General features: G+C 35.7%; 1 annotated feature.

Moving 5' to 3' along the window:
- Positions 986-1,487: an enhancer, noted in NCBI's record as "NANOG hESC enhancer chr4:127282393-127282894 (GRCh37/hg19 assembly coordinates)". NCBI's record gives its function as "activates a minimal SCP1, AML or CMV promoter by ChIP-STARR-seq in primed H9 embryonic stem cells {active_cell/tissue: H9 hESC(primed)}" and the evidence as "EXISTENCE:reporter gene assay evidence [ECO:0000049][PMID:30033119]".

Consider the following 13,039-nt stretch of genomic DNA (forward strand, 5'->3'; position numbering starts at 1 on the left):
CTATCACTGCCCTGTCTGTGGATTTTTAAATAGTGCATTTTTATGGATGCCCCATCTCTATAATGATCTTGGAACACCTTGCTATTATTAGTTAGACTCCTAATGTCAGGGTTTTTTTATTATTAGATTACAACCCTTTGGATATCATATTCTAGACCTACAGTGGCCTCCTAAATCCAACAGTGGGCATGTCCCATGCTGACTTTCTTGTATCCTCCTTCAATTGACTGATCTTCTTGGCATTCTCAATTATAAAAATGCAACACACAGTGCATTTAAAAATATAAAGTGTTTAATTATTTACTTTATTTACATGTATTTACACTATATTAACTTTCAAAAAGTAGATACAGACACCTGCTTCAAAGAATCTAAAGTAAAGTAATATGACAGAAAAGGAGGAGAAAGGTAGGAAGAAACTGATTTAGCTAGTGTGGTCATACTGAAATGGTGATTTATATAATACTTTTTCAGGCACTGAGAAACTTTACAGAAAATAGGTTTTATGTATATTCAGATGAGTGCTAACAATTTTTTTGAAGGCAAGTATTTGGCATCTACTAGATAAAAAGTAAATTAACAGAAGGATTTTGCATGTTATTTATGATATAATAGAGTTATCAAGACACATAAATAGAAAAAATACCAATGTCTTAAGATAATGTCTGAATATTTGCACACATATACACTTACCCTCACATCTGAACAATTTAAGGTTAAAAAAAAGTAGGTTAAAAGAAAGGTGGCACAAAATGCTAAGGTAGTCCAGAGGAAGATACTATATCCTACTATAGAGAATAATAAATGCTTCACATATAGGTTAATTCTAAGTAGCAGAGACACAGGGCATGAACAAGGCAAGAATAATGAGATCACCCAGGAGGTAATTGCCAAAGATATAGAAAAAAAGCATAAATTATCTCTAAAAGCTTTATGTAAGACATTCAGATTTTTTAAAAAAGATCATATGATAGAATGTGAGACTTAAGGAAAGCAAAGTAAGTTTCAGTGGTGCTTTAAATAGGTCCTGCATATGTATTCGCATATTTATTTTAGATGCAACTATAAACAAAAATAAAATTTGAAGCCCCCGCCACAACCATCTGAATGGACTTTCTCCTCAGCCAGGGCACTCTAAAATTTAACTTGAAAGTGTGGTGTAGGCCTTGACAGAAAGTAGGATTTGGACTTGCCTCATTACACCCCTCCAGCGTTAACATCAGCACAAAGCTTAAGTCTGATAAGAAACATTTGCATCTGCTAAAGCCTGCTGCTTGAAGGCTTCATCTGCATGATAAAACCTAGGTCTCCATAACCCCTTATCATAAACCAGACATTCCTTTCTACTGGTAATAGCTCTTTCAACCAGTTACCAATCAGAATATGTTTAAATCTACCTATGACCTGGAAGCACCGCCAACTTCTAGTTGTCCCACCTTTCCAGATGGAACCAATGTAAATCTTCTATGCCTTGATTGATGTATTCTGTCTCCCTAAAATGTATACATGCAAGCTGTACCCTGACCACCTTGGGCACATGTCATCAGGACCTCCTGAAGCTATGTCACAAGCACCTCCTTAACTCTGACAAAACAAACTTTCTAAATTGATTGAAACTTATCTCAGATACTCTTGGTTTACACATATAAAAACATACATAGCTCGAGATAATCACATGATTCGAATTATTTAAAGATAATTTCTTTAACTCTAAAATTTATAAAACTTGTATTTACATACAGAAAGACCTGATTTTAGAAAATATAAATTAATGCCATTATATAAACCCATTAAAAGCAAAGCCTAAAGAAACCCTGCTCTGCAAATCAGTATACAAATGCAGTTCAGGTGACTGAACCTCCAAGAGTCAGTGGTTGTGTATGTAAGGTTGTATACCACTATTGAATTTTAAATAAGCAGCCACACTAATCTAAAAATAGTCACGTAACAAAGTAGGAGAATGATATAAGATGGAAAAAATACATTTTCTTTTTTTTGCCTAGACCTTAAATTATGCAATCAAAGATTATAACGAGTATTTGTTCTGAGAGTTCATGAGGACTGCTGAAGAGGAAGAAAAAAATGTCATTTGCACTGATAAGTGGCAGTCTAAGTGACTTTAGGAGATTTTAAGGAAATGAAGCGGTATTTTTAAGAATAACAAATAATGGTTTAAACCATTATCTATAGAGAGCTCCTAGGACCTAATTAGATGCTCATTTACATACTAAATAACACATCCACCAGTGTCATAACACTTCCCAGAATACCCGTATTTGGTGTAAAAATGGGTGACACTTCAGTTCTGAGGAATGTCCACCTTTTTCCAGGAATGTCCATGAATATTCCACCCCTTGGTTAAAGAAACCCATAATGTAGCAGTCCCAAACCCCCTTGCTCATGACTCTCTCTTGAGTATGACTGCATTCCCATTTCTTCAGTGTCTACTTTTTGCTTTGCGATAAATCTCTGTATTTTCACTATTTTCTCACTGAATCTTAAACTCCTTCCCACGATGATGTCAAAAGCCTGGAAGCAAGCTGGTGTTGAGGTTCCACTGGCATTAGATGACCTCCCCCAGCCCACTTGCCAGTATTACATGGAAGTGATCACAGTAGTTGGAACTACAGAAAAGGCAGAGCTAGATGAAGGGAAGTAGATAAATTCAATGAGTGTTTTGGAGGTGGTGGTAAAAAGATTTCTAGATATAGAAACTTTATAGCAGTCTGTTTCAACATTTCTAGCACCAACAGCTTCCTTTGGAGAAACACTCTAACCACCCGCCCCCTTTTTAAGCCATTCATATCTTTTCAGCCATATTAACATAAAAAGGAATTCCATATTTAGCATACTATTATGCGTTGATTCCTGGGCACACTACTATTCCAAAGAGATTCTTAGACATGAGTTTCTTACTATACATTTAAGTAGCATTAGCTAAATTTTCTTATAGATGGCTTAGGGAAATATTTTTCTAATATTTAAGAAAACTGGTTCATAGATGCAACATGAACAGTGGAAGAGGTTATATTGCCCATATTCACTGCAGAGAGAGGGCTAGCTGGATTTCCTAGGCCAACTAAGAATCCCTAAGCCTAGCTGGGAAGGTGACCGCATCCACCTTTAAACACGGGGCTTGCAACTTAGCTCACACCCGACCAATCAGAGAGCTCACTAAAATGCTAATTAGGCAAAAACAGTAGGTAAAGAAATAGCCAATCATCTATGGCCTGAGAGGACAGCGAGAGGGACAAGGATCGGGATATAAACCCAGGCATTCAAGCCGGCAATGGCAACCCCCTTTGGGTCCCCTCCCTTTGTATGGGAGCTCTGTTTTCACTCTATTTCACTCTATTACATCTTGCAACTGCGCTCTTCTGGTCTGTGTTTGTTACAGCTCGAGCTGAGCTTTCGCTCGCCATCCACCACTGCTGTTTGCCACCATTGCAGACCTACCACTGACTTCCATCCCTCCAGATCTGGCAGGGTGTCCGCTGTGCTCCTGATGCAGCCATGCGCCCATTGCCACTCCCGATCGGGCTAAAGGCTTGCCATTGTTCCGGTACGGCTAAGTGCCTGGGTTTGTCCTAATCGAGCTGAACACTAGTCACTGGGTTCCATGGTTCTCTTCCGTGACCCACGACTTCTAATAGAGCTGTAACACTCACTGCATGGCCCAAGATTCCATTCCTTGGAATCTGTGAGGCCAAGAACCCCAGGTCAGAGAACACGAGGCTTGCCACCATCTTGGAAGTGGCCCACCACTATCTTGGGAGCTCTGGGAGCAAGGACCCCCAGTAACACTATCACATGGAGTAACTTACAAGTAGATAAAATATAAAAAGAGACTATTTTCGGAAATTGCTATGGTAAATGTCATATGGAACAAAGTTATTTTTGAGAAGAACTGTTGCCCAGAATTTATAAAGTAGTTTTGTGTTTATGATATTATTCTTAAAAACGCTATCTGAATATCACACCATGATTCTAAATTTATGGGAAAAAAAGAAGAAAAAAACAATCCATCCAAGAGCTGGAAAGTAAGCGTAAGCTGCAGGGAACCTCCCAACTCTACAATAACAAAATGGCCAAATTACTTCTTAAAAATAATAACAGTCAACATTGTTGAGTAATCTTTTTGATAGAATATGCAAAGCTGTTCAACATTTTCTTTTTCATTTCAAGAACATATGAGCCAACTGTTATGATGATGTATCTTGTAGGGATTTTGAGACCAGCATGACTTATGTTCATAATATTTGGATGTTTTGTATTTTTCTTGGACTTATCTACACATTTGTAAAAGTGCCAGCACAAGAAGGGAAATAAACAAATTTGATCCTCACTCTCAAATATTTAAAGCTATAAGTGTTCTTGTTCTTTGCTCCCTTGTTGCTGAACTGAATGTCTATTTTTCTCATTGAGTATCTGTGACTTTAACAGCCTCATTATAATCTGGAGTACACACCTAATAACAGCACCATGGCAAGAAGAACATGCTCATGACTGACAATAGCAGGAACCTAACAAACCATTCTTTCGTCTAGACACTGTCTTCCTCCCAAGCTTCAGAATAAACAAATCCAAGACTGCAGCTGCATTGGTGTTACATACAGACAAGATGGATAAACAAAATCTGACTTTCTTCCTGTTAGAGTAGGCACAGATACTGATAAACACAATTCCCACATCTTGTACACATATTTTGTCTGCCTGACGAAAGACCTAAAGAACAGTGTGTGTATGCCTCTGTGTGATATGTGGATAATGCCACATGTTTCTACAGAATCTATTCTCTCCCATTTAGCATAGAAGAAATAACCAGTTATATAGTTTTAATTCACTAATATTAAACCAAGGGTCTACCTGGAATCAACACTACTTTATGATTTTCTGACATCACCCCATTTGAAAGGAAAGAATAATCAAATTGAATTAGGCAGAAGAAAATTTCACCTAGATGTTTGTAGAATATTTTAAAGAAAATGATCTGATATGCAGCAAACTACAAATATTTTATTCCGATTTTTTTCCCATTCCATTGCTAATTTAAAAACATTTACTTATACTTCACATCACAATTGCCCACAAATGAGTCCCACAAACCCAGGCTCAAGAATACTTGATGTTCAAGGTCTGGGCTTGTATAAGCTCAGTTGACTGTTATTCACATTTCCATTTATAAGGAAATCCATATATGGACAGCCCATGTTCCATAAAATTCATACTGATAACCTCTGCCACAAATTTTAAAAATTGTTTTAACAATATTTTATACATTTTTTTTTTTTTTTTTTTTTTGAGACGGAGTCTTGCTCTGTCACCCAGGCTGGAGTGCAGTGGCACGATCTCGGCTCACTGCAAGCTCTGCCTCCTGGATTCACGCCATTCTCCTGCCTCAGCCTCCCGAGTAGCTGGGACTACAGGCGACTGCCACCACGCCCGGCTAATTTTTTTGTATTTTTAGTAGAGACGGGGTTTCACCATGTTCGCCAGGATGGTCTAGATCTCCTGACCTTGTGATCCGCCTGCCTCGGCCTCCCAAAGTGCTGGGATTACAGGCATGAGCCACCGCACCCAGCCTTATACATTTATTTTTATCTGCTTCATTTTATGTTCTGTAGATAAACCCTTGAGCAAAATGTCAAGTGGCAGGTTTTGGTAAAGTCAGGTAAAAGAGTAGCAGCATGTGGTCCTCTACAGAAAAGGCCACAAAGATAATCTCTCTTTGTTTCCCTCTACCCTCCATATTTCTCAGCTATTGGCAAAGCATGTGCTTCAGAATCATTCCCAAAGAGAGTTTAACACAACATGTTCCCAGGAATGCAATGCACATCAATGCGTAGTAAAGAGTTAATTGGAATTATTATATTTCCCTGCACCTCAAACACCCTGAGTCAAAACTTTTTTAAAAAATTTCTTTGGCAGGTTGAGAAATGAATAAAGTAATCTGCATAAAAACAATTATGTACTATCAAGATGGCACTCTATAGAGAAATTTAATTTCCAAGGTTAATAAAAAATGACATCCCCTTCCTCAAACTTGAAGATTGCTTGTAGCCAGGAATCCTAAATAATCACATTACCTATCTTCTGGTGCCAGATCATAGTAAGAATATAATAATTTTCTAAGAATTTCTCTTGGTTCTGGATAAAGACCAATGTTACTTTCTCATAGTTAAGATGCAGTCATTCCAAAACATAATTGGGCTCTGTAGTAGCCACAAAGCATTTGATGTGTCATCATAAATGAAACTGTAAAAATCAAATATAGCTAGGAAGATGTTCATCCTTCTGTTCACTACAGATTAGCTTATGTTGTTCTTAATATCCTCTAATCCTTGAGAGGATATATGTATTTATGTGTGTGTGTGTGTGTAGCTTTTCATTCAAAGTTTTCAACCAATAGTTACTTGCTAAATACCAGGAACAATTACAAGAAATTCTGAAAATCACCAAGACATGAGAATATTTGATATTCAAGGTTTCAGCTTGTACAGGCTGCAATCGACTATTACTGCAGACTGAGCAACCCAAGTTGGGTGAAATGTGGCACTAATAAGAGTAGGGATCTGCTATGGACTGAATGTATTGCCACAAAATATACATGTTGTATTTCTGACCTCCAATATGGTGGTATTTGGAGATGGGATCTTTGGCAGGTAATTAGATCATGAGGGTAGAGGCCTCATGATGGGATTAATTCCCCTATAAGAAGAGACAGGGAGCTTCATCACTCTCTGCTCTCCACCAGGTGGATTTGCTATCTGTAAATCAGGAAGGGGGCCCTCAGCAAAACCTGAGTGTCCTAGAATCTATACCTCAGACTTCCCAACTCCAGAACTGTGAGAATAAATGTTTGTTGTTTAAGCCACCAAGTCTATGCTAATTGTTTACAACAGTCTGAGCTGACTAAGAAGGGATCTTACAGAGATTCATATCCATGTGGGTAAGATGAAAAGTGTCCCAATAGTTGGGGGAGATTAAAAGAGTAGAAAATTATTTTAGAGATAGGCAGATCTGAAGGCAAAGAAGCAAGACTAGTGGTATAGGAACTTTCATATGAAACACATTAAAAAGAAATTATCTTCCTATGTAATTATTCCCTTTAATTACGTGAAACCCTTGATTAATGTCTGATGCAGCTGTAGAGCCAAGTGCAAATTATTTTGATGAATAAGGAAATTGAATATTAGAGGAAAGAATAGTCTGTAATGAATTAAGGGATTGAATATTAGAAGGAAAACTAGCCTGTGCCACATTTTTTTCTTCCCCAGATTCCTCTGGGAAAATATCATCATCCTGTACAGATATGGGATCAGGAGTTTGAGGCCATGATAAGCACTAATGTTTTGCCTACAAGCAACAAAGTAGTTTAGGTCTAAAAGTCTTTCAATGAATAATTTTTTTTTACTTTTAATTATTAACTTGAAGGAAACTGAGGAAGGAAAGAACAGTGACAAATTCATACTACAGTATGGTTAATTAAAATTACCTTCTTTGACATCCATCGGACTTAAAATGAAAGGTTGGGGAAAAGTTCTATTGAAAAAATATTGAAATAGTATGCACCTGAAGTGTGGCAAATGTGAGGGACCATAGGGAAGGCACAAATTTCTACTTTTAATTGTTAGGAAGGGTCACTCTAACACTAGAATTTTTAAAATTTGAGATTTCATAGATCATTAATTAAAGGAATTTTCATCTTAAAGTTACTGACTTTTAATTTTGTCAGATTAGGATGTTAAACTCAATCAATCATTTAATTAATTTAATTAAGCAACTGTTTACTAAATATCCTCATTTTATTAAAAAATATTGCTGTTTTGGACATACACACACATACAAACACATACACACACATATATCCACATATGTACATTTATGTGTACCCTAAGAAACAACTATCAAAATTAGTCATTAAAATTTACCTAAAAATGTCACTACATTATCACTCTCCACATCTTTTATATGGTGGTTAAAAAAAAATCATTATAGATCAACATTGCTCCTCAAGCAAAAATGTAGGAATCATTATAGGAGCTTAAATTCTATCTTCAATTAGGAATACACATAAACTCCTTCGGCATTTCACCTCTTGGCCATGCCTATTCCTACTCTAAATGGATACTTCGTAAATTGGCTCTTACACAACTTGGGACTATTTCAGGGACTACAATAGCTTAAACTTAAGATGGACCTTTCTCACTGATATGGAATAAAGGTCATGAACTCTTGCACTGAGCAGTTGGAAAAATTTAAGTCAAATTCTTCCAAATTCTTCAAGTCAGCGGGTGAAAAAGAATTTAAATAGATTTGGAATAAGAAACACCTTATATCATATTGTAAGTTTTTATTGTATAGGAATGTATAAAAATGAGGTGGGAGAAATACAGGTAGATACACACCAAAAACCATTGCCATGTTAAATATTAGCCAAAACTGTTGTCCTTACAGATGTTTTTGTAAGAATTTTCTCTAAGTGCCCTGTAATTTTAAGAAGTACTTTAAGAAATGTCTGCTTATACTCACCTCTGAAGAGCTCATTTATTCATGTATATTAGAACATTTCTCAGATGCTTTCCTTTGGTTTCATGCCAGGAGATCTCTAAATAATAAAAGCACCTAATAAGGAGGTCTATTTTATACATCTACAACCAAACCCTCTTCGATGAATAACAAATGGCCCCTTCTTGTAGCAAATTTTGAATGTAAGGAAGATTGTTACAATGGATTTCCTGTGGTTGTTTTATCCTCTATACCCCATACATATAATTTTTACAAGATTCAGATTACTTTGAATAATAGAGTTATTGGCTGTTCATAAAGAAATCAAACACACTAAGCTGCTATTTTCAACATTATTTTATTGTTTTACAGCTCATATTTCTTTTTATCAAGAGTAACTCATGCCAAAAATTTCAAAAGCACTTTTGGCAGATATGTAAATAATTTGGAGAGCAAATATCCAATTAGTAAATTTTGGCAGATAGTCTTTTGGATCCACATGAGAAGAGAAGAATATTTTAATATCCTTGACCAGTTCATTACTACTGACATAGCTCTGCTCACACATGGCAAACACTCCAGGTTTTATTTGGGAGGAATGTGATCAGGGAAATTTGTTACTAAAGCCTAAATGTTCAGATAACACTAAAGTGGTTTTCTTCCTCTCAATTTGCTATTTTCTAAAAATAGATTAAATAAACTTTGGTCCCTTTACTTTTATATGAGTAATGTTTTTAAGTTGCATATTACTACAAAAGATGATAGTTTGTTTCAATTGCAATGATCTCACACCAGAGATGCAATGGAGAACAGGAACCTGACCATTTGTTCTCAGGGCACATTTACTCTCCATAAACCTGCGCCTTAGTTTCATTCATCCGTTCAAGAGCAGTAACTGTTAGCTGACTCTGATGGACTCAGAAAAGCCATGTCTAATATTCATGAGCTGGAACAAGGTAACTCAGTCCAATTGCTTCCTTTCATAAAGGAAATGATGAGACTTGGAATAATTCCTGAAATGGAAAAACCTAGACTTAACATTTTAAATGAAAGGATTTAAAGCCAAAGCTTAATTTACAAAGTAAGTGTCTATTATTAAAAATAACTTTTAAAACACAAGCCTCTATTTTAACAGTCACACAAAACTTCTTTCTTAAATGTCCACTATATAGAAAGCATCTATCACAGTCTCAGTTTGCTATATTTTCCCCTTTCTTTGTCATGAATAGCTTCAGAATGTTAGATATACATGTTGTTTTTATTATTATCATAAATAATGACTTTTAGTGTTTCTGGTTACCTTTAAAAGGAAGACAGCAACAGACAAAGCAATATAGAGTAGTGAGAATTTGCAGAAGCCCCACGTGCTTGTGTCTTCAGTAGACCATCAAATCTGAGCAGCCTTTTGGTCATTTAACTATTTCACTAAGACTACAGAAGCACCTTTTCATTAAACCTCTATTCTTCAAACCACCATGACTGCATTTAGGGACAGTGGATGGGCAAAACTCTCCTCTCTAGAATCCACTGTTGTAATGGAATATTGGCTTTGTTGTTTCTTTCTGATTTATAACCATGTCTAAAATGTCACATCACATACATATTTTAGGTTCTTTTGCTTCTTATATTGTAGTATGTATCCTGAGACTGTGGATACATATGTGTGTGTGTATGTATATGTATATGTGTGTTGTGTGTGCATATATCTATATGCATATACATACACACACACACATATATATACAGGTTCAGTATAATGCACATTTTTGTATAAGTTTATGTATATTTTTCATACATATTTCACAGGTGAAATACATTCATGTGTTTTTTTCTTCTGAAGTTGTAATCATTATTGTGTAAGAACCATAATTAATTATACCTTCATTCAACAAGTATTTAAGTCCTACTTTTTATCAGGCTCTATTTTATTAGCAGTTTTTTTGAAGTTGATTTACATTTCTTAAAATTCCACTGTTTTAAGTGTAAAATTCAATGATTCCTAGTGAATTTATAGAACGGTGCAAACATCGCCACAACTCAGTTTTCAATTCCCCAAAACATCTCCAGTCCATTTGTAGTCATTTCTCTTTTCCATCCCCAGCCCGAGCCAATCTCTAATCAACTTGCTTTCATTCACTTTTTTGAAAATTGTATATCAGTGGAATAATACATATGGGGTCTTTTATATTTGGCATTTTTAGCCATGTTTTTTGAGGTTCATTCATGTGGTAGAATATATCAATAATACACTCTTCTATATTGCTGAATAGTATTCCACTGTATGGATATGTCACATTTTGTTTATCCATTTACCGGTTGGTTGGCATTTGGGTTGGTTTCAGTTTGGGACTCTTATGAATAGCAATGCTATGAACATTTATACATGCATTTTTATATAGATGCATGTTTTTATTTCACTTGTATATATACCTCTGAGTCAAATTACTGGGTAAATTTATGTCTTTTTAAGAAATTGCCAATCTGTTTTCCAAAATGGTTGGACCATGTTACATTCTGACCAAAAATGTATGATAATTTTAATTTTGCCACATCCCCACATTGTTTCATGTGTCATTTTGATTATAGCCATCCTAGTTGGTGTGAAGTGGCAACTCATTGTGATTTTGAAATGCATTTCCCTAATGGCTCATTATGTCAGTATCTTTTCATGAGCTTGTTAACCATTCATTTATCTTCTATAGTGAAATGTCCACTAAAATGTCTGGAACTGTTTTACATCAGAGGATACAGTATGGAACAAAATAAGTTTCCCACACTCAAGAGCTCACATTCTAGTAATAGGAAGAAAAAAAATTAGCTGTTTCAAATGGTGTTATATCATATGGAGAAATGCAAAACAGTGCAATGGGCATAGGAAGTACCAGACTGAGAGTGGGTTTGATATTTAAACAAAGTCAACAAGGAAATTTTCACTGATAAGTAAACTGCAGAAGGTCTGGAAGAAAGTGAGGGAGGAACCCACCTGTACTTCTGATGGATAGATGGATATGTATTCAGTATCATATTGCCCTTAAAGCAGGGAGTATCACATGCAACTATTTAATTAAGAGAAGCAATAACACATTTTGTTCTCCTGCCTACACTGTTATTTAAAGAAGACCTAGTATCAATGACTCAGATTTTGTCACTTATAAGATTTAGAGTTTTGGAGGTGATTTTAATAATCATTTTAAAATGGCACAGAGCAAATTATTGTAATGTTCATATAATCTACATTATATAGTAAATGAGGTGACTGACTTTTACCAAGTTACTGCTGCTGTATGTACGCTTTTTAATCTTATGACATAGAAATATAATAGTACACATTCTGTTTGATAGGAATCCATATTTTTATACTACAGGAAATTGACTTTTTCTCGTTAACACGACTAGAAATATGCTTCCTATGCCACCACAGCATCGTGATGAAGGACATCTTGCATGACGGGAAGAATGCAGGTATGTAGGTTTCATTTTAGAGAATATTAGAGCACCTCACATTTTTTGTTGTTTGTTAAAATATATCAGGTAGTTGCAATGTGCAGAATATATTGAGGAAGGCATATTTTTCCATGATAAAATCTCAGAACTAAAACTGTACTTAGAATAAGTATATATGCAAAACATATCCGTGTAGTGTTAATAAGAGACATTAGATACTCCAGCACAGGCAGAAGCTATGTGGGGCCTACAGGGGAGACTAATTCGATCAGAAACAGCTCTATCTTATTATCTTCATCCAAAAAGTTATCTAGAATGGTTAATTTGATATGTGATTGCTAAGTTTGAACCCTTTTTCTTTTATTTGTTATCTGGGATTAGCAGTGATTGCTTCTTTTGTTTTCTGTGGTTTTGTTGTTGTTTAGTTTTTTGCTTATTGATTGTTTTTTGTTTACTTGGTTTGGACTTGAGAAGGGGCATTCTTGTAGAGAATAAAGTATACTTCCATGACATACTGATTATGTGGTCACTTGACCTCTGGGCAATTTTGGCATAGGGCTCTGGTTGTCAGGCAGCAATTCCTAGCACATGCCAACTCTCTGGTTCTTGTTTTCCCTTCCGTTAGGGCTCTCCAGATGAGTATCATTGACTGGAAATGCTTCATGAAACTCTGGTTTCATTTTGGGCATAACTGTCTGCAACAAGAGGATCTGGTTAGAATTAGCTCTACAGACTCAATCACTGCCCATGCCATGGAGTTACCATTACCAAAAGCATTATCCAGATTGGGTATATCATATCGTAAGGACAGGAGGGATAAGAATAGCAAAGATAGAGATAGGGATATGCAGTAAAACACTTAATATTTGAATTAATAAGGCTAGGACAAGATTGAAATTAACTAAGGTGGCAGAAAAATGATACCACAGAAAAAAAAATTGAGACAAAAATTGTAAAACACACTGGGGTCATGCCAAGTGCTGAATGCATGCAGCAATAACAATAAACAATAACAAGACAGACAATAAACAATCCAAGGGGAAAAAACATATTAATGCTGCCTGCATTATCTCCTCTAAGACTAATA

This window comes from Homo sapiens, chromosome 4 (assembly GCF_000001405.40).
Source record: "Homo sapiens chromosome 4, GRCh38.p14 Primary Assembly".
In the NCBI taxonomy this organism is placed as follows: domain Eukaryota; kingdom Metazoa; phylum Chordata; class Mammalia; order Primates; family Hominidae; genus Homo; species Homo sapiens.